Source organism: Homo sapiens, chromosome 5, assembly GCF_000001405.40.
Source record: "Homo sapiens chromosome 5, GRCh38.p14 Primary Assembly".
Classification (NCBI taxonomy): domain Eukaryota; kingdom Metazoa; phylum Chordata; class Mammalia; order Primates; family Hominidae; genus Homo; species Homo sapiens.
In genome coordinates this window covers 137,994,037-138,020,824 of record NC_000005.10, presented here as the reverse complement: position 1 = coordinate 138,020,824, position 26,788 = coordinate 137,994,037, and the positions used below count along the sequence as shown (strand labels likewise).

Here is a 26,788-nt window from a genome sequence, read left to right as displayed (position 1 = left end):
GCTGCATTGTTTCCTAGTCATGTTGTGACATTCTTGATCCAGTGGGTATACACTTGATCCAGTGGACCTTATTTTTGTAAACTTAGGAATTTTAGTAGACTTATTTTTGTGATTTGCTTTTTTTCTCTTGCAGTGAGAAAGAAATTGTTTTTCTAGGGTGATGGAAAAAATACCAGCTGGTGTCATTTTGTTCATTATCAACCTTTGAGTTTTTCTTTCTTTTACAAATACTCTTTTCCTACGTAAAGTAATAAATGTGTAATGTGTTTATTTTAGAAAATAAATTTTTCTTAGGATTACTTGTTCTCTGATGTGTCAGATATTGGAAATGGCCATCTGAGACATTGTTTTCTCCCACTTCTTTACTGATCACAATTCCTACAAAATTAGGACAAATAACTATTTCTTCTGAACTAGATGGCTCTGAAAATTTTTCTTTTGGATAATTATGAAATAACAGTGTTAAGGACAGGCACAACGGCTTGTGCCTATAATCCCAGCGCTTTGGAGGCTGAGGCTGGCTGATCACATGAGGTCAGGAGTTCAAGACCAGCCTGGCCAACATGGTGAAACCCCGTCTCTACTAAAAATACAAAATTAGCCGGGCGTGGTGGCGCACACCTGTAATCCCAGCTACATGGGAGGCTGAGGCAGGAGAACCGCCTGAACCCAGGCGGTGAATGTTGCAGTGAGCCAAGATTGCACCATTGCACTCCAGCCTGGGCAAAAAGAGCGAAACTCTGTCTCAAAAAATAAAAAGAAATAACAGTGTTGATAAAAGGACATCTCTTATTGAAAGTTGATGTCCAGAAATGAAAAATTTCTTTTTTATAAAAATGTATTACAGGCCGGGTGCGGTGGCTAACGCCTGTAATCCCAGCACTTTGGGGGCCGAGACGGGCAGATCACGAGGTCAGGAGATGGAGACCATCCTGGCTAACACGGTGAAACCCCATCTCTACTAAAAATACAAAAAAATTAGCCGGGCGTGGTGGCAGGCACCTGTAGTCCCAGCTACTTGGGAGGCTGAGGCAGGAGAATGGCATGAACCTAGGAGGCAGAGCTTGCAGTGAGCCGAGATCATGCCACTGCACTGCAGCCTGGGCAACAGAGCGAGACTCCGTCTCAAAAAAAAAAAAAAATTTATTACAGCTGCTTTATCATGTAGAAATAAGAACTCATTAATCTTGTTCTTATTAGCCCATCATTTATAAAAAGTGGTTATTAGATCTGCACTTTCTAAAAAGGATTCTCTCCTGTTTGGGCTTATGAATTGAGGGGTTAGATGAGCTTTATATGGCACAGTCCAGAACGGGTTTGGATTTACCTGTGTCATTAATAAGCTTGTTCAGTAAAGGTTTTCTTGGAGCCAAATTTGCTCCTTAATTTGTCTTTGGGACATTAATGCCTCTTGCTAAATCTTTGATGATTAACTTTGCTATTGTTTGATAAGTATGCAAACACTAAAGGGAGCATTCAGCACTAACTCTTCGTAATAGGGAATATGTTTAGGTAATTGTACTGAACTTCATCTGTAGAACACACTATGGGCCTGCTAACTGGAACATTTAAATAGATGAGAACACATTCAGGTGTAAAGCATTTTTCTTTAATGTATCTAGTCATATTGCCACCTGTTAATCATTATAGTCTTTTTTTTTTGTCTTTCATTTGGCAGAAAAGACAGCTTTGATTTCTGGCTGCAAAAAAGATATGAGGAAGAGCTCCTCCCCTTCCTTGAGTAACTGCAACTCCGTTCTTGCTAACAAAATATTTGGAATTCCACTTGATGAGCTGCAGCAGGGAGGACATCCAGACAATGAGGTTCCATTCATAGTCCGCCACGTTGTGGACTATATTGAGGAACATGGTATACATTTCCTTACTTTGAGGGCTAGCTTTTGTTTTAATAAACACAACTTACACCTTTTTGACCTTGGATTTTTAATTTTTTTTTTTAATATGGAAAGTCCAAAACATAGGAAAAACTAGAAATTCTTTTTAATGTTTTAGTGTGATTTTTACTTAAATTCATATACTTAGAAATGACAGTTGCCCAGCCTAGAACAAGTTTTAGTGGGGGTGATAGGAATATTTTTAATGGATATAAGGGGTGGGATAAAATAGAATATCCCTTAGAACAGAGATAGTATGTTTCTAGATGTATAATTTGAAGGTTTTTAGACAAGTCAGGGGAGCCAAGAAAGGCTTTCCAAAAGTATGAGTATTTTAAGTTAATTGGAGAATGAATATATATGGTCAAGCAGTTGACATTGCAGCTTATTGAATGATTGCCTTGAACTAACGTAGGAGGTCTGGAGCAACAAGGACTTTTTCAAGTCAATGGAAATGCTGAGACAGTGGAGTGGCTTCGGCAGAGATACGACAGCGGAGAAGAGGTGGATTTGGTTAAGGAAGCAGATGTTCCCTCAGCTATTAGCCTTCTTAGATTTTTTCTTCAAGAACTTCCTGAACCTGTTATCCCTGGCAGTTTACATATTCACTTGATGCAGCTTTCTCAAGGTAACATAATTTGATACTTATCAATTGGTCATTTGTTGTTAATTTCCTAGTCTTTACCTTTTAGAAATCTTGACATGTAAACAGTAAGTATAGTATTTTAGAGATTAATTTGTTATTTTCTCATTTGCTTTTTGGGGTTGTATGATCTTGTCATAGGAAAGGCAACTTCCGGGATCCCTCTAGTACTATTTACTTTTTGTGATTGGTTTTATTAGCCTAAGAAACAGGGTGAAGAAGAGGAAAGGGAGGAGACAAGAACAAGGAGTAGGAGGGGTCATCAAAAAGAAAGAAGAGAAATTTATGTAAGGTAATGTGTGTGGTGGCACAATGTCCAATAGTAGCCAAAGGTGTTGCTTAGTGGTGATATTACCACTATTAGGGTTACTTATCCCTGGTTTGATAGAATTTCCTAGCAAAAGGAAGAAGACAACTTTGATTCTAGGCTTTGAATATACCTAAAACTTGTTCTTGAACACTTAGCTAAAGGAAATGAATATCAAATTGAACATTAGACTCTAAGCTAAAGAAACAAAAAAAGATGTATCTTTGTTAGGTTTTTTTGGTGGTGACTAAAAAGTAGTGCTTAGCTAGAGTGGAACAGGAACAGGAAAAATAATGGTAGAGGCAGCAGAAAGGTCAAAGAACCAAGAAGTGAGGAAATGCTTCTGTTCCTAGAGCCAAATGGTATTCATGTATATGTAATGGAGGGACATGCTTCATTATATAGGAAAATGTGTAAAGTTGGCATATAGAGTTATATATTTCTTGAATTTTAAAATTACCCTTTCAGGCTTTTTTGGTATTATGGAGTTCATTTATTTTTTGAATCGGGGCTTCTAAAGAAATTCAGTTATGCTAAGAAATTATAACTACTTCCTTTATGCCTATCTCTATCACAGCTGGGCATTCTATAATATGTGTGTATATATCCTTAAGTATTATGTTGTCAGAGAAGGTATATTTTCTTTCGAAAGTGTTTATCCGTCTTTTTCTTAAATTTTAAACTGTGAGCCTAAGTTAGTTGGATGTCTTTGATTTATGTATAAAGGTCAATGCAAAGACGTTCTGTGACCCTCTTACACATGTTTTCTGTACAGCTAAATCATAAGGCTTACTTTGAACTTGCTATATTCAGGAAGGGGTAACCTGATTCAGTTCTGTTCTTTTACTCTATAATCTGGATCAAAAAACAGGTTTTAAAACGAAATGTTATTAGTAAGGCTACCCTTTTTTCAATGCATCACTTTAATTTTTCTCCCCCCAAAATTACGCTTTTTTGTTTTGAATTTTTGAATCCATTTTATTATTACAGGAATTTTTTCAAATGTTTATGTTGAGACACATAATAAGCATTTTGCATTTATTAAATATGAACCGAAACCAATATGGTAAAGGTTTTTTGAGCCTTTTAAAATAACTCTAGAGCCATTCTCTTTATAGTGATAGGTTTCCATGTTCCCTCTGTTAGCTGAATTGCAGACACATATTTAAAGTTCCAAGAGTCAGATAATCTTTCAGTCCTGAATGAAAATTTATAAATTAATAATTGCAGTGAGATTTAATGGAAGCAAAGTCATTGACTCACTGGTAGAATCTATCAGAAGCTATTTATTTTTCACTAGGATTGTCATTTCAGTTGGTTTTCATTTATTCGTTGTTGTTGTTTTTTTGAAATGTCCTTGCTCTGTCGCCCAGGCTGGAGTGCAGTGGTGTGATCCTAGTTCACTACAGTCTTGATCTCCAGGGCTCAAGTGATCCTCTCGCCTCAGCCTCTTGAGTAGCTGGGACTACAGGCGCGCACCACCATGCCTGGCTAATTTTTTAAAATTTTTTATGTTTTGTAGAGACAAGATCTTGCTATGTTGCCCAAGCAGGTCTTGAACTCCTGAGCTCAAGTGATCCTCCTGTCTCAGTTTCCCAAACTGTCTCAGTTTCCCAAAGCACTGGGATTATAGGAGTGAGCCATTGTACCTGGCCTGGTTTTCATTTAAAATTATGACAGCATCATGTACTGTTGGGACAACTAAGTTCCTCTTCAAAGACACAACTTTCTGGTCATAAATTGTAAACCAATCCTACCCCTTCTTTTCTTTCAAAAATTGCGCATTTACCCTATTTGAAAAAGTTTCAGTCTTAGCCATGGCCTGGTTTTCATTTAAAATTATGACAGCACCATGTACTGTGTTGATATTCATGGAATTACAATACGCATCTTGTTACTTATTCTTATGCTAACATTCACTTGTGAAGGAATTTAAGATATGCAAAAATTTGCAAAAGAGATGTGCAAAAAAAAGCAAAAATGCTTATGGTCAATAAGTGCTTTCATGTTTAATATGAGAAATTCACTGTTTTCTTCTATTTTCCACTTATACATAGATAATCATTAGCATGTGTATGTATGTGTGCACATATACACCCGTTTCTTTAATAGCTGTGCAGCTAGGTATGGTAGTATTTGGGGTGATATTTGCATTTATGTTGTAATATCATCTGATCATTCATTCATTTAGTTATTTTGGGAAGGTGTCTAGATCTCTGAACAAAGTTTCCTCTCTTCATTTACTGTAGATAATTTTGTTTGTTTCTTTTATTCTTTGAGACAGAGTCTTGCTCTGTCACCCAGGCTGGAGTGCAGTGGGACCATCTTGGCCCACTGCAACCTCTGCCTCCCAGGTTCAAGTGATTCTCATGCTTCAGCCTCCTGAGTAGCAGGGACTACAGGTGTGTGCTACCATACCCAGCTACTTTTTGTATTTTTAGTAGAGATGGGGTTTCACCATGTTGGCCAGGCTGATCTCGAACTCCTGACCTCAAGTGATCTGCCCACCTTGGCCTCCCAGAGTGCTGGAATTACAGGCATGAGCCATGGCACCCAGCTGTAGATAAATAATATGATAATATTTTAATATTCACAAATACATGACAGTTAATTGCTTTTAAGATCATGGAAGAAGCACTGTTGCAGTTGCATTTCAGCTTTTGTTTTTAAAAAGTGGTTTCATTTTTCTGTGGTAGCTGGACAGTGCATCCACTGGTGTGGTTAAACCTTTTATTTAGACTAGGGTTTCACAGCCTTGGTACTGTTGATTTTGGGCTTGATAATTTTTTGTGATGGGGAGTTGTGTACCTTAGGATGTTTAGCAGCATCCCTGACCTCTACCAAAGGCACTGTCTTCCCCAAAGTCATGACAACCGTTCATTGTCAGATGTTGACAACTTCTGGGTTAGACCATAATGGTTAGTCCAACTGCTTATACATTGTGTTTTGATAGAAAACATAGCTAGCAGTTTTGTGGATTAGTTAGAACATTTCCAAAAAATGTTACAGTACTTGAAGGAATTGTTAGGGGAAACTTCTCTGATACATACATTATTTTCCTTGGATATGATTTAACTAGAAATTAGACTCCAAAGGAAAGAAATTTAAGCAAGTATGTATATATTTAATGTATTTTGAAATGCTTCTCTGCCTTATTTGAAGACTTCAGACACAGGCCAGTATAGGTACAAATGTGTAGAGGAAATGTAGCCAAACAAAACTTTGGATAATGTGGATAGTATTTCAAATAAAAACAGTATTGCCCACAAGCTTACCACCTCAAGTCAAATGGTGTAGTATGTTCAACATCTTTTTTCAGTTATTGTGTATTCATTCAGTGAATTCAACTAATGTTTATTGAACATCTGCTGTGTGCTAGGCAGTGCTCTAGATCAGCAATCCCCAACCTTTTTGACACCAGGGACTGGTTTTGTGGAAGACAGTTTTTCCACTGATGGAGAGGAGGAATGGTTTTGGGATGAAACTGTTCCAACTCAGATCATTAGGCATCAGATTCTCATAAAGAATGTACATCTAGATCCCTTGCATGCATAGTTCACAGTAGCATTCTTGCTCCTATGAGAATCTAATGCCGCCACTGATCTGACTTGCTGCTCACCTCCTGCTGTATGGCCCAGTTCCTAACAGGCCACAGACTGGTCTGCAGCCCCGGCTGGGGACCCTTGCTCCAGATACTGAGAACTCAGCACTGAAAAAAACTAGATGAAAATCTCTGCCCTCATGGCTGGGCGTGGGGACTCACGCCTGTAATCCCAGCACTTTGGGAGGCTGAGGCGGGAGGATCACTTGAGCCTAGGAGTTCTAGACCAGTCTGGGCAACATAGGGAGACCCTGTTGTTACAGAAACTTCAAAAAATAGCCAGCTGTGGTGGCATTTGCTTGTGGTTCTAGTTACCTAGGAAGTTGACGTGGGAGGATCGCTTGGGCCTGGGAGGTTGAGGCTGTGGTGGGCCTCAGTGATCATGCCACTGCACTCCAGCCTGGAGCGACAGCCTGTCTCAAAGAAAAAAATATCTCTGCGCTCACAGAACTAAAATGCTATAGGGGATAAGGGAAGATGGTAAAGTAGATGATAAAAATAAACATATGGATAGGTATGCTAGACATTAAGTGCCACAGAGCTGGAGAGAATGTTAGGTAGAATTTGTCAAGTGTTGGTATCTTCATTATATTGATAATATTAAGTGCTTGCATTTTTGATATGTGATTTCTATAATAATTTTCTGCTGAATGCTTAGGTTGTTAAAATTTCTCATCAGTTATAGGTCCAGTGATTTAAACATTAATCCAGGGACTATTCTGTCTGATTTTAAAATTGAAGTACTGGTACATTTGAATGGACAGCTGGTAATATTACAAAGTATAGAAGAGTTGTTATTGGTTGCATTTTAAATTTTAAGTAAAACTCATGTGACTGTAGCCTTTCCTGATAAACTTAAAATTTTTTTTTTTTTTTTGGAGATGGAGTCTTGCTCTGTCCCCCAGGCTGGAGTGCAGTGGTGCAATCTCGGCTCACTGCAAGCTCTGCCTCCTGGGTTCACGCCATTCTCCTGCCTCAGTCTCCTGAGTAGCTGGGACTACAGGCACCCGCCAACACACCCAGCTAATTTTTTGTATTTTTAGTAGAGATGGGATTTCACTGTGTTAGCCAGGATGGTCTCGATCTCCTGACCTTATGATCCACCTGTCTCGGCCTCCCAAAGTGCTGGGATTACAGGCGTGAGCCACCGCGCCCAGCCTTTTTTTTTTTCTTTTTGAGACAGGGTCTCACTCTGTCACCCAGGCTGAAGTGCAGTGGCACGATCTCGGCTTACTGCAACCACTGCCTCCCAGGCTCAAGCCATCCTCTCACCTCAGCCTCCTGAGTAGCTGGGAGCACATGTGTGTGCCAGTACACTCAGCTAATTTTTGTATTTTTGGTAGAACGGGGTTTCGTGATGTTGCCCAGGCTGGACTCGAACTCCTGAGCTCAGGTGATGCGCCTGTCTCAGCCTCTCAAAGTGCTGGGATTACAGGCATGAGCCACCATACAAGGCCAAATTTTTTTTTTTTTGAATCAACATAGTACTGGAGTCCTATTTCCTGATAAACTTTTTAGACTAGTGTTATTTTGCAGAGATAGTTAATATCATGACCGTAACCTTTTACCAGGAGTTTTTCAGTAAAATAATTTTAAGAACCTGCGGAAAAATACAAAATGAAACATAATTTAATTGATTTTTACTCATGTAGCACAATAAATCACTTCATTTCGAGAGGACCTCTGAGCACTTATTTCTCCCAAATGGGATCCTCACCAATTAGTGGAATGAATACGGGTCTAGTTTCTGTTAATGAAAACTCATTGACACGATAAATACAAGGCCTAACTTGTGTGATAAAGTTTACTTGATAAGCAGAAACCAACATGAATTTAGAGGAGAAAAACAGACGAGAAATGAAAGACCTTTTAATTTAGTTATACTGATATTGCTGAAGTTAATTGTTTATTTTAGGACGCCAGGAGAAGAAAATCACACTGTTACCTTTTTCTTTCCTTCTTTTTACTTTCATCTAAGCTGAAAGGTATCACTGATACTATTAGCCCCTCAAATTGCATCTCTGCTTTGCTCACTAGTGGTTTGTATTGTCTGGCATGGCCAGTGCATTTTGACTTCTTATAGTTGGCACTAGTGTGGAAACACAGGTACAGTCATGCTGGAGACAGTAGGATGAGAATTAAAAAAAAAAAAAAAAAAAAAAGAGAATTGGGGCCAATGAGTAATAGATGAGGAAAACATCCTCCAGCAATTAAGGGATTGAGTTCCTTTTTTCCAGCTCCTCTTCTCCACCTCTTCTCCATTTCATAAGTGAAATACAAAGCCCTAAGGCATTTGGCCCCAGTAGAGGAAGTGAAGAGGTTTTGAATTGTTGTATTAAAAAGGTGATGTGGGTGGAGTAATGTGAACCTGGCAAAATATCAGAGCTTTGCTTTTTCCTTTATTGAAAAAAACCTGTTATTATTGTTTTATAGATTATAATAATGAAGATGAATTTGGAAGAAAGTTGAGGTTCCTCTTGCAACAGCTTCCACCTGTTAATTATAGTTTGTTAAAGTTTCTGTGTAGATTTTTAGCCAATGTAGCATCACATCATGAAGAAATTTGGTCCGCAAATTCTTTGGCTGCTGTCTTTGGTCCAGATGTCTTCCAGTAAGTTGTTTAAAAAATTTTTGTTTAATTTTTAAAAATTAGATATGTGAGGCCGGGCACGGTGGCTCATGCCTGTAATCCCAGCACTTTGGGAGGCTGATGCGGGCGGATCACAAGGTCAGGAGATTGAGACCATCCTGGCTAACACGGTGAAACCCCGTCTCTACTAAAAATAAAAAAACTAGCTGGGCATGGTGGCGGGTGCCTGTAGTCCCAGCTGCTCGGGAGGCTGAGACAGGAGAATGGCGTGAACCCGGGGAGGCGGAGCTTGCAGTGAGCCGAGATCGCGCCAATGCACTCCAGCCTGGGTGACAGAGCGAGACTCCATCTCATAAAAAAAAAAAAGAAAAATTAGATATGTGAAATGGAATCATTATATTGTCTCCCAAGGATCGCAGGTTGCTTGATGAACAATTATTTTTTATAGTAGATATGATTAATTCTTACAGCATTTTTGTGAACAGGGTACAAATTAGGTAGGTTTTACAGATGGGAGAATGGAAGCACAGAATGGTAACATAAATTGCCCATGTTCATAAAGTATCTCATTGGTTGTCTTCTACCTTTACCTGTGATTGATTTAAGAACTCTCAATTCAATTTGGACTTCTATTCTTAGCATTTACACAGATGTGGAAGACATGAAAGAGCAAGAAATAGTGAGCAGGATAATGGCTGGACTTCTGGAAAACTACTATGAGTTTTTTGAGAATGAAGAGGAAGATTTTTCATCTAATGATTTGAGTTCAATTACTGAACAGGTGAGAATATTCTATTTGGAGGGATAATTTTTTTTTTTTTTTTTTTTTTTAAGAATAATATGCTCTTAAAGACTTGCCACAGACATAAGTGGAATTTAAATCTGACCTGGAAGTAATTATCTTGGTTATTATATGTAATCAGTAGGTGGCACATTCATGATTTTTTTCCTGAACAACATCCTGTCCTCCATAATTTGATTAATAAGGAAAAGGCATTAAAATTAGAGTATATGGTAGAGATTTTTTGTTTCTTTTCCTATTGTTTATTTTGTAAGGATAATGCAGTGTTTTGGTTTTTTGCAGAGAAACTGCTAGCATAGAGGAATATAGGCAAGGGGTGAGAAATTTAAAGTAGAGGGAAAGATTCGGTACACATTTTTAAAAATTTGAAGTTTTTCTTCAATAATAGAGCAAATCAACACAATAGTATAATTGTCACTAATGGGAAGCATCTGGATATTAATAGTTTAAGTGGCAGGTAATTTTTAAATTCTGGTGACTCTAGAATATTAAAATCTCTTTCTGAGGTTACATTATAATCTTTTAAAAAATTGTTTTATTATTTATAGAGACAGGGTCTTCTTATGTCGCCCAGGTTGGTCTTGAACTCTTGGCCTCAAGCAGTCCTCCTGCCTTGGCCTTCCAAAGTGTTGGTATTACAGGTGTTAGCCACCACACCTGGCCCCACAAAATGATTTTAAAAAGTGTGATATAACATGTTAAAATAGGCCAGGCGTGGTGGCTCATGCCTGTAATCCCAGCACTGTGGGAGGCTGAGGTGGGTGGATCAGCTGAGGTCAGGGGTTTGAGACCAGCCCGGCCAACATGGTGAAACACTGTCTGTACTAAAAATATAAAAATTAGCCAGGCATAGGGGCATGTGCCTGTAATCCCAGCTACTGGAGAGGCTGAGGCAGGAGAATTGCTTGAACCTGGGAGGCGGAGGTTGCAGTGAGCCAAGATCGTAGCACTGCACTTCAGCCTGACCGACAGAGCAAGACTCCATCTTAAAAACAAACAAACAAAAATGTTGAAATAATAGTATCTCTGTACCAAAAAGGTGTGAACTGAATAAGTTTTTATTCTCAGTTTTAAAAGCCTTCTTTAAAAATTTTTTTTGATATTTTGCTGTTGTGCCCAGGCTTTTATTAATCAACCACAATAATTCCCACCCCTGCCCCAACCCTTTTTTTTTTTTTTTTTTTGAGACAGTCTCGCTCTGTCGCCCAAGCTGGAGTGCAATGGTGTGATCTTGGCTCACTGCAACCCCTGTCTCCCAGGTTCAAGCAATTCTCCTGCCCCAGCCTCTCGAGTAGCTGGGATGACAGGCGCTCGCCACCATGCCTGGCTAATTTTTGTATTTTTAGTAGAGACAGGCTTTCGCCATGTTGGCCAGACTCGTCTCGAACTCCAGGCCTCGGGTGATCCACCCACCTCTACCTCCCAAAGTGCTGGGGTTACAAGCATGAGCCACTGCACCTGGTCCCCTTTTATACTTCTGAAAACTTTTTTTTTTTTTGGCCAGTGTTTCCTTGCTTAGATTACCAGATGGATATTAAGTACATCCTCTCAACTTTCACTAGTTAATAAAATACGTAGATGGGGAAAGAGGATAATTTCCCATTAGATCTACTTTAAAACCTGATCTATCATTTGAGATTTTCACCTTTGTGTTGAAATCTTACCTCTCAGTTAATCACTTAGGCCAGTGATTTTTCAGTCCTTTTCATTAGCATTATACATGATGTGGGATAGACTAGGAAAGACATTTATAAACACAACGAATTATACAGAATCTGCTGCATGTACTTTACATGTGAACTTAATGGTTCACTAACTGTTTTGTTTTTATTTTTGTTTTTGTTTTTGAGACAAAGTCTTGCTGTGTTTCCCAGGCTGGAGTGCAGTGGTGCGATCTTGGCTCACTGCAACCTCTGCCTCCTGGGTTCAGGCAATTCTGTTTCAGCCTTCCAAGTAGCTGGGATTACGGGCACATGCCACCACATCCGGCTAATTTTTGTATTTTTAGTATAGGTTGGATTTTGCCATGTTGGCCAGGCTGGTCTCGATCTTCTGCCCTCAAGTGATCCACCCACCTTGGCCTCCCAAAGTTCTGGGATTAAAGGCATGGGCCACCGCGCCTGGCCTAACTATTGTTAATAATGACTTTTTAGTGACCCATCTGACTAGTGAGCTTGATAGACCTGTGGTTGAGACCTCCTGCTTTAGGTAGTTTGGATGGTGGATACTCTCTTCATTTATATAAAAAGTGATGTTACATGTAGAAGCTAGGATCTATGCTATTAAAGAAATGACAACAATTTCAGTTATAATGATAGGCATTATTGCTTATTATGTATAGACATTGCTGAAGAGGTTACATATATTAATCCTTTCAACCAGCTCTGTGAGGTAGTTAGTATAGCATCTCCATTTTATACTTAAGACTTGGACAAGTTAAGTAAGTTGCCAGAGAAAGTTAGGGACAAGTAGGGATGTGTGAATATAGGTATTTCTGCCTCTGAGGCCTAGCTTTTAACTACTGTATTATACTTTATTTAATTTCGAAACCAAATCTTACTCTGTCACCCAAGTTGGAGTGCAGTGTCACAATCGCGTCTCTCTGCAGCCCCGACCTCCTGGGCCCAAGTGATTCTCCTACCTCAGTCTCTCAAGTAGCTGGGACTACAAGCACATGCCACCATGCCTGGCTAATTTTTGTATTTTTTTGTAGAGACAAGGTTTCACCACGTTGCCCAGGCTGGTCTGGAACTCCTGGGTTCAAGGGTTCCAACCCCCTCAGCCTCTCAAAAGTGCTGGGATTATAGGTGTGAGCCACCGACCATACCCAACCTGTATTATACTTTAAAATAGGCACTCTGTACTTGTTGATTAGGAGTGTGATAGAATATCACAGTGTAATGACTTTTCTTTTGGTTGCAGTTTTACTTTCTGATAGTATTCTAGTAACTGTATTTGTCCATCAGGAAAAACACCACTGTTACATGTAGTAGTAAACACATTTATTCTAGATATTTCTATTGCATTTTTCTAGCATGGAGAAAAAGCATACTTGCATTGCTCAGAGTCTTTAATGACTAGTATTAGTTTATATTAAGCAATTCTATAGATAGTTTCTTCTTTGGGATAACTTAAAAACTCATTTGAAAATATTTTGCTGGTTTTCCTTCTCTAATATTTCAGTATCTTTTTATTAGAGTGATTACCTACGTAGCCAGTTTCATAATGGAGGACATTTTAGAGCTCCTGCTAGCAAGATAATTATAACCTTGACTTGTGCTTACTGGTCAAAATATGAGTTCTTCCTTGTTATAGGATTCCATCTCTTCATGAATAATTCAATCTGAATCACTTAGAAGTTAGCTGACATTTTCTAAAATGTAGCTAACATCTTAAGGCAACATTTTTTTTGCGCTTCTTTTTTCACACTTACTATATTAAAATGACTTGTTTAAGGCACCTGGAAAATCAGATCAATTAAAAGTCTGTTGTAAGTGTTACATTTACGAAACTAGTTAGAAAATTAAGTTTTCTTAATGTTAACTATACCTTACAGGCTTACTTATATTCCTAGATATACTAATTTTGCAATATACTAATATACTAATTTGCAACTAGTGATACACTAATCCTGCTTCAAAATGTTACATTTGTCTGGTTGCAATTTTATTTTGATATGAAAAAGTTGACAGTTACTTACTCCATAAGAGAGATTGGTCCTAGGAAATGAGGAAATAAAAATGAGTTGTTTGTGTTTAAAATTTTCATAGAATAGTATGTCTTAGATGTGTTAACGGTTTCATTACATTTTAATTCTGAATTTCTTTTTATTTATATAGGTTAATGAACTTTCTGAGGAAGAAGAGGAAGATGAAAAGCTGGAACATATTGAAGAACTTCCAGAAGAGGGTGCAGAAAAATCAAATGACATGCCAGAGGTGGTACAATTAAGGATGACTGAAAACATCCTGGAATCAAATAGTGTTACGGCAACAAGGTAATAGCTCAGTTGAATGAACTTTAGCTTTTGAGTATTTCATTCTAAGTGTAAACTCACTCCAGCATTCAGAAACACAAACTGTAACTATATGTGAAAGTTTGGCATTTGTGTGTGAAAAAGAGCAAGAAGTAAAATTTAAAGATGCAGTCTTGCTAAGGAATTTTCAGTTATTAGTGTTAATACCTTTTTTCAAAAACATAACTTCTTACAAATATTTCTTGTTAAAGTTGGTTTTGTATTAGCTTATTAATTGGGCTGGATAAAATTTCAGAACCTCTGGAAGTAGCATCGTTAGAGAAGGATACAGTGACTGAATTGACTTGTATATCCCGTTTCCAGGCTACAATTAGTTGTAACTAGGCTGTAAGGATGGAACTCTGATCCATTAAGATAGTGCTTTCCAATTCTTTTCATGTACAAAATGATAATATTTACATGGCATGCTGGGTAAATTCGATAAATGTGGTAGGCTGAAGACCCTATCCCAGCACATAGCTGGGACCACTGGGCACACTATTTAGGAAGCTTTAGAGAACTCAAGAGAAAGAGTGAACCTTTCTGTGGCTTTTGATAAATATTTCCAGACTACTTAAAGGATGTAACCCAGTTTACATTGTCATACTCCCCATATGTATCTTTAGGTCTGCTAAATTCTATGCTCGTTCTCCGTAAAGCTCCATGGTTTACTAACCCTTTCTACTTAGGAGGATCCAGCTATATATTTAGTCCACTAGATATTTTTCATTTAATTTGTGTTCAGTGGAAGGGTGGTTAAAAAGAAGAGGAAATAGGCCGGGCGCGGTGGCTGACGCCTGTAATCTCAGCACTTTGGGAGGCCGAGACGGGCAGATCATGAGGTCAGGAGATCGAGACCATCCTGGCTAACACGGTGAAACCCCGTCTCTACTAAAAATACAAAAATTAGCCGGGCATGGTGGCGCGCGCCTGTAGTCCCAGCTACACGGGAGGCTGAGGCAGGAGAATGGCATGAACCCGGGAGGCGGAGCTTGCAGTGAGTCGAGATCGCGCCACTGCACTCCAGCCTGGGCGACAGAGCAAAACTCCGTCTCAAAAAAAAAAAAAAGAAGAGGAAATAATAATTTGAGTCAGAAAGCAAAATGTCATTTAAAAGTAACTGGTAATATCTAAGGGAAGAGCTATCTATTGCCATTTAGGAAAATTATGAAGTAATTTTAAATGCTGCTAAACACAATTATTACATTTCTCTGTAGGCCTCTGGATCTTTATATTATCTATGGTTTCTTCAAACAGGATCATAATTCTGTTATATTAACATGTTTATTCTCTCTGTTGCCCGATTTAACATTCTGTTTTTGCTTTTATGTGTGTTTACATGACCTTCTAATTTATTTTTTGATGGTTTCTTAACTGTATTTTAATTATATATTAAAATATTATCTATATGTTCAGATATTTAACTGTATTCTAACATTCTTTTTTCTTGATATTTTGAGTTGTTTCAGCTAGCTTGTCAGTACTGTACTGCTACTAAAAAAAAAAAATACCTTTGTTGTTTGGCCCTTTTTTCCTCCTTCTAAATTATTTGGATACATTTACTGGAATTGAAGAGTGAACCTTTCTCTGGCTTTTGATAAATATTTCCAGACTGCTTAAAGGACGTGACCCAGTTTACACTGTCATTAACAGTATTTTCTTGAGGACCTTACAGCAATAGATTTAAATGGGTGTTTTAAATTTTGTTAATTAATTAATTTATTACTATTTTTTGAGACCAGAGTCTCACCCTGTCACCCAGGCAGGAGTGCAATGGCACAATCTCGGCTCACTGCAACCTCTGTCTCCCGGGTTCAAGTGATTCTCATGCCTTAGCTTCCCAAGTAGCTGAGACTATAGGCACGCATCACCATGCCCAGCTAACTTTTGTATTTTAGGAGAGATGGAGTTTCACCATGTTGCCCAGGCTGGTCTCAAACTCCTGGCCTCAAGTGATCCGCTTGCCTTGGCCTCCCAGAGTGCTGGGATTGCAGGAGTGAGCCACTGCACCCGGCCTCTAATTTTGTTAATTTAGAGCTCTGCTCTCCAATAAGGTGGCCATTAGCTCCTTCTGTGTATTTATTATTATTTAATGACAGGGTCTCTCGCTCTGTCATCCAGTCTGGAGTGCAGTGGCACAATCACAGCTCATGTATAGCCTCTACCTCTTGGGCTCAAGCAGTCCTGCCTCAGCCTCCTGTGTAGCTGGGACCACAGGTGCTCGCTACCATGCCCAGCTAGGTTTTGTATGTTTTGTAGAGATGGGGTTTCGGCATGTCACCCAAGGTGGCCTTGAGCTCCTGGGCTTACAGGTGTGAGCCACTGTGCCCGGCCACTTGTGTGTATTTAAATGTAAACTTAAACGAACTGAAATTAAATAAAATTTTAAAATTCCTTCCATATTTGTGCCACCTACATTTCAAGTGCTCAGTAGCCACACGTGTGGCAAGTGACTATCATGTTGGGCAGTGCAGATATAGAACATTTCTATCATTGTAGAATTTCTTTTGGACAGTGCTGATTTAGACAAGTGAATTCATTAAGTATTTTTATTTATGTAATTACCAGCAAGGCTAAGTATGGTTTCAAATACATATTACTAATAGCTTCTCTTCGATCATCTGTCTGGTTTTGTAGAGGATCCTCCTTTGCTCCAACACAGTCATTGGAGATTTAGTGGTTGTCAGTTTTGTTTTTTTTTTTGAGATGGAGTTGCGCTCTGTTGCCCAGGCTGGAGTGCAGTGGTGTGATCTCGGCTCACTGCATCCTCCACCTCCTGAGTTCAAGCGATTCTCTGGCCTCAGCCTCCCGATTAGCTGGGATTACAGGCCCGCACCACCGTGGCTGGCTAATTTTTGTATTTTTAGTAGAGACGGGATTTCACCATGTTGGCCAGGCTGGTCTCAAACTCCTGACTTCAGGTGATCTGCCCACCTCAGCCTCCCAAAGTGCTGGGATTACAGGTGTGAGCTACCACGCCTGGCCAGTTGTTAGGATTCTTTAATTGCAGCTCCTAGGAACAGATTCTGGTTAAAGTATAGAAAAAGCAGTTTATTAATAAGAAGGATTCTGGGCTACAGTCAAATCGAAATGCAAAGATAAGAACATGGGCAGCTCTGTGAAATTTAGAAACACAGAGGCATGTAATAATCTCTTCAGCATGTGGCTATTGCTGTGAGAGTTCTGACTGCCTCCGTCTGTCTGTTATTCTGCTTTGGAGCACATAGCTGTGGGGTGGTCGGGAGAGGGTCTGCCCTAAATTTAGTTAGGTGTCTCTATTCCCATGGCCAGCGTGGAACTGGTCATTGTGATTTATGTGTCTCTGAGGACGGTGCGGGATGGAGGGAGGAGCTAGTTTCCCATGGGAAAACAGGGCTATTACCAAAATGTTGGGGTAGGGATATTAGGCAGCAGAAACAGATATGTCTACCATTGTGGTCTTCTAGATTTAGTAATATTTATGTGTTTCGGTTAATATCTATACATTTCCTTTTTATTTTAGTTTTGGCTGATAAAGTGTATAAAGATTAAAAAGTACCCATGACTACTTTTTTGGTGGTATCTATTGCTTCATTATAGTACTTTTCAGGTAAATAAAACCCTTTACATGTCATGAGAGTAGAGGTACCTGCTGTTTTTTTAGTTGACATTTATTTATTTATGAAAATGTTAATAATTTAACTCTTCTCTTGAAAGTAAAAATATCCACGGTGTGTAGTACCTTCTAGACTGTGGTCAATTTATATTCTATTTGTTATTAAAGATGCTCATATTAAAAAATTTTTATAAATTACCTAGTTTTACATTCATTTGGCAACTTATTTTTACGGTTGTTATTACTGCTTGAGATAGAGGCTAAAGATTGAAGTTGTTTATAGGTGTGTCCTCTATGAAATTAAAAGTAAATAAAAATGCATGCCATTTCATAAGTGCTTAATGAGAGATAAGCAAATGAAAAATTGAAGTGGAATGAAGCACACAGCTAGTTAGAGGGAACAGGCCCGGCGCGGTGGCTCACACCTGTAATCCCAGCACTTTGGGAGGCTGAGGCAGGCAGATCACGAGGTCAGGAGATCGAGACCATCCTGGCTAACATGGTGAAACCCCGTCTCTACTAAAAATACAAAAAAAAAAAAAAATTAGCCGGGTGTGGTGGCGGGCACCTGTATTCCCAGCTACTCGGGAGGCTGAGGCAGGAGAATGGCGTGAACCCGGGAGGCAGAGCTTGCAGTGAGCCGAGATGTCGCCCCTGCACTCCAGCCTGGGTGACAAAGTGAGATTCTGTCTCAAAAAAAAAAAAAAAAAAATAGAGGGAACAGATTTGTTTGATCAGCCTTTCAGAAAGAATGATTAGGGTTTTTAAATATATTTTTAGAGATATTTATTTTTGCATGTCTCTCTGCTAAACAAGGATATCTGTTTGTTTTTTGTTTGTTTTCACATGGAGTTTCACTCTGTTGCCCAGGCTGGGCTGGAGTGCAGTAGCGTGATCTCGGCTCACTGCAACCTCTGCCTCCTGGGTTCTCAATTCTACTGCCTCAGTCTCCTGAGTAGCTGGGATTACAGGCGCCCACCACCATGCCTGGCTAAGTTTTGTATTTTTAGTAGAGACAAGGTTTCACCACATTGGCCAGGCTGGTCTCTTGAACTCCTGATCTCTAGTGATCCACCCGTCTCGGCCTTTCAAAGTGTTGGGATAACAGGTGTGAGCCACTGCACCCAACTTCCATTGAAGTATATTATTTCTAATCCCCAGCAATCCACTTAAGCTTTTTATTCTTGTTTCTTAAAAATTATAAAAGTACTTTGCTGAGTCTAGCTGATTTCATTAGTATAACATGTCTGTTGTTTTAAAAACTAAGATCATTTATTATATTATTTTTCTCTGAACTCTTCAGAGAGGTAAGAGCGTTTCATTCCTTTGGTTAAATCCCTTTAATGTCTCTCTATTGAAGGAGCCAAAATTCTTAAATGGCCTGTAAGGTTCTGCATACATAGTCTGCCCCATCCCACCTCTAACTGCTGTACCCGTTTTTCCTTTATCTCTTGCCTGCTCTCTCTTTGGTCATTCTCCTTTGGCCATAACAAAATTCTTTAATTCACCAGTCATGTTCTACTTGAGCCTTTGCACTGGACTGTTCTTCTATATGGATAGATGTGCCACTAGATAGCTGCATGGTTCTCTCAGTATGTTCAATTCTTTGCTCAAATGTCACTGTATCAGTGATAACCTCCTCATCCTCCATTCTTGATCTCCCTTACCCTGTTCTGTTTTGTTCATAACTGTTATAACCATCTAACATACATGTATTATTGTTATTGTCTGTCTTCCATCACTAGAAAGTAAACCATGAGACAGCAGGATTATGTTTACTTATGTATTTATAACACTTAGGATAGTGCCTGCTACAGAATAGGCACTCAGTAAAGTATTACTTGTTGAATAAATGGAGCTTTAGAAGGAAGATGGAATTTTCTTGAATGTTCAATTTAATATGATTAAAATTACATATATAGCAAATGTGTCAGTGTTCTGAGACAGAAGAAATATAAAATATATTGTTTGATTATCTACCTTGGATGAAAGGAAAGTCAGGGAGAAATTTCCCTAGAATGCATAGGGCCTAGTATATAGGGAGCTCTTAATGAATTTGAAACTGGAGATTGAACTTTTCGTAATTAACATGTCATCTTTTTGAGTATTCCTATGAAGTAATTTGCAAACATTTATTGGAAATATTAGGTAGCCTGCTTTGTATTTCTCTTCAGAAGTAGCCTAGGAAAGTATGTTGGAATCCTAAGAGAAATAAACACTTGGGGGATGATTTAAGTTAGCATTTCTCAAACTTTTGGTCACAAACATTAGTACCCTTATAAAAAGTTATTGAGGACTCCAATGAGCTTATGTTAATGTGGACTATACTTATTGGTATTTACCATATTAGAAATAAAAACTGAGAATATTTAACTACAGGGAGTATTTCTTTGCCAAGTTGTAGTTTGGAAAGATGCTGTTTTTTTTTTTTTTGTTTTTTGTTTTTTGAGACAGTGTCTTGCTCTGTCGCCCAGGCTGGAGGGCAGTGGCACAATCTTGGCTCACTGCAACCTCTGCTTTCAGAGTTAAGGGATTATTGCGCCTCAGCCACCCAAGTAGCTGGGTCCACAGATGTGCGCCACCACACCTGACTAATTTTTGTAATCTTAATAGGGATGGGGTTTCACCATGTTGGCCAGGCTGGTCTCGAACTCCTGGCTTCAAGTGATCTGCCTACTTCGGCCTCCCAAAGTGTTGGGATTGATTATAGGCATAAGCCACCTCTCCCGGCCTGGGTGCTTCTGTTTGTAGCTAAAATGTAACTATTTATGACCTCGTGGATTTTTATTAATAAAGTCTTTCTCCTTTATTAGTTTTAAGTTAATGCTTCTCAGATATTTTGGTTATACAATCCCCTTACACACTTAAAAATTATTGGGCACCCTAAAGAACTTTTGTTTCAGTTTGTTATATCTATTGGTGTTTATATTAGGAATTAAAACTGAGAAAAAATTATTTAGTTAATTTTTTATTTTTTTGAGACAGGGTCTTGCTGTGTCACCCAGGCTGGAGTGCAGTGGCATGATCATGACTCACTACAGCCTTGACCTTTCAGGCTCAAGCAATCCTCCCACCTCAGCTTGATGAATAGCTAGGACTACAGGCATGCAGCACCATGCCTGACTAATATTTTATATTTGTTGTAAATACAAGGTCTCGTTACGTTGCCCAGGCCAGTCTCAAGCTCCCAGGCGCAAGTGATTCTCCAGCCTTAGTCTCCTTAAAGTGCTGGGATTACTGGGCCTTATTTAGTGTTTTAAAGTAACAATAAACCTATCACATATTAGTGTAATTTTTTTTAAATGAAAAGTAATTGTGTTTTCTAATTCCCTAAACTTTTTTAGTAGCAATGTTTTACATTTTTGCAAACCTCTTGAATTTCTATCGTGAAGGATTCTTACATTTTCTTCTGCATTTAATCTGTTGCTGCTATGATCTGGAAGTTTTGGTATTAGGAAGTGGGGCCTTTGGGAGGTTATTAGGCCATGGGGGTGGGGTCCTCATGAGTTAGACTGGAACCCTTATAAAAAGCCTGAGAGAAGACTCCTTAGCCCTTTCACTCAGTGGTAACACAGTGAAAAGTCTATCAATGGGCCCTCATCAGACACTGAATCTGCTGCTGCCTTGATCTCAGACTTCTCAGCCTCTAGAACTGTGAGAAATACATTTCTGTTGTTTCCTAGTGTATGGCATTTTGTTATAGTAATGTGAATGGACTAAGAAAATTGGTGCTGAGGAGTGGGTGTTGCTGTAACAAATACCTAAAATATGGAAGTTGCTTTGGAACTGGGTAATGGATAGAGGCTGGAAGGTCTTGCACTCACCCAGGCTGGAGTGCAGTGGTGTGATCTCGGCTCACTGCAGCCTCCGCCTCCTGGGTTCAAGCGATTCTTCTGCCTCAGCCTCCTGAGTAGCTGGGACTACAGGTGCGTGCCACCACACCTGGCTAATTTTTGTATTTTTAGTAGAGATGGGGTTTCACCATGTTGGCCAGGCTGGTCTCAAACTCCTGACCTCATGATCTGCCCACTTCAGCCTCCCAAAGTGCTGGGGTTACAGGCATGAGCCACTGCGCCTGGCCAGAAAATTTTTTAAAATGAGCTGGGCATAGTGTCATGTGCTGTGGTCCCAGTGACTCAAGAGGCTGAGGTGGGAGGATTGCTTGAGCATGGGAGGTCCAGGCTACAGTGAGCCATGATTGTGCCACTGCACTCCAGCCTGGGCAACTAAGTGGGACCCTGTCTCAAAAAAAAAAAGACAAAAAAAAAAAAAGACCCTGAAGGCAATTCAGAAATCAATTACAGGCCTTGAGTGCAAGGGCCTGCGAGGAGGCCCTAAATGCAAAGGAGGGGCCACCAATGATGGGGGACCTTGGGGACCTTGGCAAGATTCCATTATGCCTGGTACCATACTCTTCTGCCACTTTAGGTATGGCTCTGGTGTGATAACAGGCAGCACCATCTCTACCAGAGCACAGAGTGTGTGAGCCCTAGGGGTGGCTACCTCCACCGTTCAAAGGATGGGGCTGCCCCGGTGACCCAGGGAAGAGGACCATGATGGGGATGGGATATGGTATATTGGTCATTTGGAAAAGATTGCTTCACTGAGTTCTGTAATCTTCCAGATAGTTGGCACATTTGTTAAAGTTCACATTCTTTAATATCACTGTTGATTGCATCAGAAGCATCTTTAAGTATTCAGGTGTTTTTGAGCTTATGGAGGAGGATACAGGTTTTCCAGAATTTTGATTTTTGCTTGAAAATTCAAATTTTATATTGTCAGTTTTTCTTAGAGTCTTAGTCGTTTCTGAGAAAATGTCTGCCAGTGTTCAAGTCCTAATAACCATGGTTTAGATGTTAGTCTTTCAAGTAAAAATGGTATTCCGTAATAAAAGTGATTAGTTTAGCTCTCAACAAGGTAAGTTATGCTGCAGAAGTGCTTTATGAGTACTTCCCTTTTACACTGAATATTAAAAAAGAAATGTACTCAAGGAGTAAGATGAAATTAATCATTGTTTTCTGCTTCTCTGTCACGGACTGGCCCCTTTTTAAAAAGTTTCAAGTGGCTGGTGAGGAAGAATGCAGTGGCCACAGTATTACTTGTCTGGACTTATGCTAAGACCCCAAGCAGCTTTTTCTACCATTGATTTTGCATCATCATTGTTGAAAACTTTAAACAACAATTTTAAGTTTATTTGAGCATTAAAGGATTCATGAATCAGGCAGCAGTCAAAACCAGAGGAGGTTCAGAGTGCTCCACTTTAGCAGCCTGAGCATTGGGGCTTTTATAGGCTGAAAGCAGAAGTAAAGAAATAACTTGATTGGGTAGGCATTTGCCTTATTTGGATATGATACAGTGGAAAGTTCCTAGTTAGAGGTTAGTTGGTGGGTTTTGATTAGTCATCTTACTGTTGACATTGGGTTTCAGTTCACTTATGTAGGAAGCCAAGGCACTGGAGCCATCTCAGCCTGATGGCCTCCCAATTTAAGAAATTTGAAAACATGCAAATGTCAGCACAGTGAAAAAGGCATACAGTATGAAGGTACTTCTAACTCTTTCATAGACGGTTTTGAAGACTCTCAGGTTTATAGACCTCTTTTTGAGAACCAGTGGTTTAAATGTTTGCTTGTGAGTTGTATTGATTGGTCTGTTCATGTATCTGTTATTTCTGCAGTTGTCATTAGCTATGTTTTGTTAAGATTTAAGCTGTCTTCAGAGTGGAAAAAATGGTGGAGTTTGGGGTGTGAGCAGCCTAGGGTGCATGAAAAAGCAGTAGTTTTGTTTGATTGATCCTGAGGTTCTTATCCATGAAGTCCATGGAAATCTCAAGATTGTTTCTAAATTGTTGTTTTATATCCACATGTTTATCATTTAGCTTTATATATATTATATATATATATATTTTTTGAGATGGAGTTTCGCTCTTGTTGTCCAGGCTGGAGTGCAATGGCACGATCTCAGCTCACCGCAACCTCCGCCTCCCGGGTTCAAGTGATTCTCCTGCCTCAGCCTCCCAAGTAGCTGGGATTACAGGTGCCTGCCACCAGGCCCAGCTAATTTTTTGTAATTTTAGTAGAGATGGGGTTTCACCATGTTGGGCAGGCTGCCCTTGAACTCCTGGCCTCGTGATCCACCTGCCTCGGCCTCCCAAAGTGCTGGGATTACGGGTGTGAGCCACGGCATCTGGCCTCATTTAGCTTTATATTTAAATGTACAAATTTTAGGGGAATTTTTACCTTTAAAAAATGTGAAGAGAGAAAGGAGAGTTCTAAAAGAGCTTTTACCTTTTCTTCCCTGTGCTTTGTAATCTTTTTCCTGTGTTGTATTGGGAAAGTTTATTTTGGCTTGAGGTTTAGGTAATTTTTAATTTATGCTCATGCTTAAGAAACCACAAGCCAAAAAAAATTACTTCGTGTTATAAAGTTCATTTAAAGTTGTGCTTCTGATGCCTTCCTAAAACTCAATTTAGAAAGATGAAAAATTGGGCTGGGCTCAGTGGCTCATGCCAGTAATCCAGCACTTTGTGAGGCCAAGGAGGGTGGATCACGAGGTCATCAGGAGTTCGAGACCAGCCTGGCCAACATAGTGAAACCCCGTCTGTACTAAAGATACAAAAAATTAGCTGAGCATGTTGGTGAGCGCCTGTAATCCCAGCTACTCGGGAGGGTGAGGCAGGAGAATCGCTTGAACGCGGAAGGTGGAGGTTTCAGTGAGCTGAGATTGCACATTGCACTCCAGTCTGGGCGACAGGGTGAGACTCCATCTCCAAAAAAAAAGAAAGATGAAAAATTGAAACTCTCTTTGTGGGTTGCTGATGTTAGGGCTTCATTCTTGTGAGTTCATTGGTTTCTGATGGTTCAATTTTAGATAAGGTGCAGGAAAGAAGGTGTAAGTGATTTAGGAAGAGCCATGGGTTTAGGGTTTTAAGACTGGTTTCTGGCCAGGCGCCGTGGCTCACGCCTGTAATCCCAGCACTTTGGGAGGCTGAGATGGGCAGATCACAAGGTCAGGAGATCGAGACCATCCTGGCTAACGTGGTGAAACCCCGTCTCTACTAAAAATACAAAAAAAAAATTAGCCAGGCGTGGTGGCCGGCGCCTGTAGTCCCAGCTGTTCGGGAGGCTGAGGCAGGAGAATGGCATGAACCCGGGAGGCAGAGCTTGCAGTGAGCCAAGATTGTGCCACTGCACTCCAGCCTGGGTGAGAGTGCAAGACTCTGTCTCAAAAAAACAAAAAACAAAAAACTGGTTTCCACTTCATTCTGTGGATCCCCTACTGAGAAAATATGCCTTCAGTTGACTAGAGGGGTATGCGGACTGTAGTAGTATCTTTTTTCTTTTCTTTCATCGAGTCATACAGTTTGCAAAATATTTCAGTTGACAGATTTTATCAGTTCACATTTTCAATATCCAGGTTCCACTTGAGTGTAAAAAGGAAGTCATACTTTGGTGGAAGTACCAGAAATGTTGGGCAGTAACAAGTAGAATTTATGCTCTGGGTCATGAGGAAATTTTATTAGAGTTAAAAAAAATGTTTTAAGTACTAGCACATGATAAATATTGACAGGTTCTCTCCCTCTTTTCCGTCTCCTGTAAATGATGCCTTTGATATTTTAAAGACTTGTTATATATAACTTATTGACTAACTTTGTAACAGTGAGAAATCTTTTGATATACTCTTGTCATAGGTATAAAATACTCCTAAGTTGATGGGGAAAGTTAGGAAAGGATTTTTGCTTTTGGTTTTAAAGGAGCATGAGGTTATTATTTTTGTTTTGTTTTATATGTTCATTTTTCAAAACCATAGTTTTTTAAATGGTAATTTTGGTATAGTTCTAGCATGACTCATCTGGAAGCTATCCAATTTTTAGACTTGAAACGTTAACCATAAATGCTTTTCTCAAATTGGATAATTGAACAATAGCACTATTTTGCATATTTTAGTAATTTCATATTTATAATTTATGTCCCTGGTTATAGTAGTTTGATTAATGAAAACAGATTGGTTTCTCCACTTATATTGGATTAGGCTTATATATTTTTGAGAGAAGTCTAGCTAGATTAAAAAGTTTGTTCCTCTTTGTCCACCTCCTGAAAAGTTGCAAAGTAATGAGGAAAAAAATTGTAGACTCTTGATTGGGTACCTCCTTGTCAGTAGTGACCTCATGTTGCAGTCTTTTTCCGTTTAAACTGCAGAGTGTAGCACAGCTCTACTGTGTGTAGGACTCAGCACTAATAATTGCTCAGCAGTTTTTATAAGCCTATCACCTTCCTTTACTGTGCTTTCAATGAAGTCTTTACCTGATGTTTTTGTTGGAAGGTGCCAGGGTATTCAGAATGGTTTCCAAGGCTGTGTTGCACTGGTAAAGTGATCTTTACCAGAGTCAGTTGAGGCTGAACTGCAATACTTTTATTGAAATATCGTTTGTAGCATTAAATATTTACAATTGGGAAATTAAAATAATAGTAGTTTCTTATTTTATTTGGATACAAAATATTAGTGACTGGAGTAAGTGGTTGCAAGATTGATCTTATGTTCTCAAGATGATTATGTCATCGTAGGCAGATTTGAAAATAGAGTTAATAGCAGAAGGGATAAAATGTCAGGGAATGACTATAGTCTTCAATGTTGTGCTTGACTGATGACTTTAAAATATATATGTCCCCTGTGATTTATTGTTTGTCTTTCTAGTCAAGGCTTCCTTGTCTAGGGGTTGAATGAATACAATTAGCATTTTTATGTGGTCTTTATGGCATCTGCCTATAGTACCTATGTAACTTGACCTGAAATTTCTCAGCAGTTATTTTTCTTGTGTCTTTATTTTAGCTCTCACATCCCTGTGATATCTATATATTTTAGCTGCAGATGCATAACTATATTGATATATCTTTTTTATTTCTATTGGTGTGTGTGAGCCCTGGCTGATATATCAGGGCTTTTTACCCACAGGATTTGACTAAAGTATGAAAATAAAGAATAATTAAAATCTGTGAAATCTGAAAGCTAAGTCAGTCCTTTTTGTCCTTCAGAAGCTCAGAGAACAAAGTTGTACAATTCATTTTGTATGTAGCCTTGTGGGTGACAACCTGACTCTTAAAGTAGAAAATCTATTTATTTGATTTGTTTACTATGGCTGGTGGGAGGCTCCTTATTAAAAGGAGCTGTTTATTTGATTGTCCCAGCATATTCTTCAGGGCTAAAGAATCTTTACTCTTGCAGTAATAATCGAGCTTGCTGATCACTACTTTTATATATACTTGTAGTTTTCAGTAGCAATTAAAAGGGTTAGGAAGCAAAAAAGATCAACTACCTTGTGATCTATTCAATTTAAGGCCACTGG

At 39.2% G+C, this 26,788-nt stretch overlaps 1 protein-coding gene across 46 annotated transcripts in view, besides 1 other annotated feature; it reads left to right on the top strand.

Annotated features, from left to right (window-relative positions):
• The window catches only part of FAM13B (family with sequence similarity 13 member B), a 114,219-nt gene that overhangs the window by 31,354 nt on the left and 56,077 nt on the right, over positions 1-26,788 (top strand). For 25 of the 46 annotated variants that reach the window (NR_169822.1, NR_169826.1, NR_169823.1 and 22 more), the window contains 5 exons: positions 1,679-1,870; positions 2,311-2,523; positions 8,880-9,057; positions 9,676-9,817; positions 13,678-13,835. Coding sequence is in view for 39 of the 46 variants with exons in the window: in XM_006714648.2 (XP_006714711.1) it covers positions 1,714-1,870; positions 2,311-2,523; positions 8,880-9,057; positions 9,676-9,817; positions 13,678-13,835 (848 nt within the window). In the remaining 7 variants the exon portion in view is untranslated. Of the gene's footprint in view, positions 1-847; positions 945-1,678; positions 1,871-2,310; positions 2,524-8,879; positions 9,058-9,675; positions 9,818-13,677; positions 13,836-26,788 lie in introns of all 46 variants that reach the window. The other 21 variants (NR_169824.1, NR_169815.1, NR_169814.1 and 18 more) reach the window with 6 other exon arrangements.
• Positions 17,917-18,096: a silencer, noted in NCBI's record as "fragment chr5:137338418-137338597 (GRCh37/hg19 assembly coordinates)". NCBI's record gives its function as "represses an EF-1alpha promoter that drives an FKBP-Casp9 reporter gene in an ReSE screen in K562 erythroleukemia cells {active_cell/tissue: K562}" and the evidence as "EXISTENCE:reporter gene assay evidence [ECO:0000049][PMID:32094911]".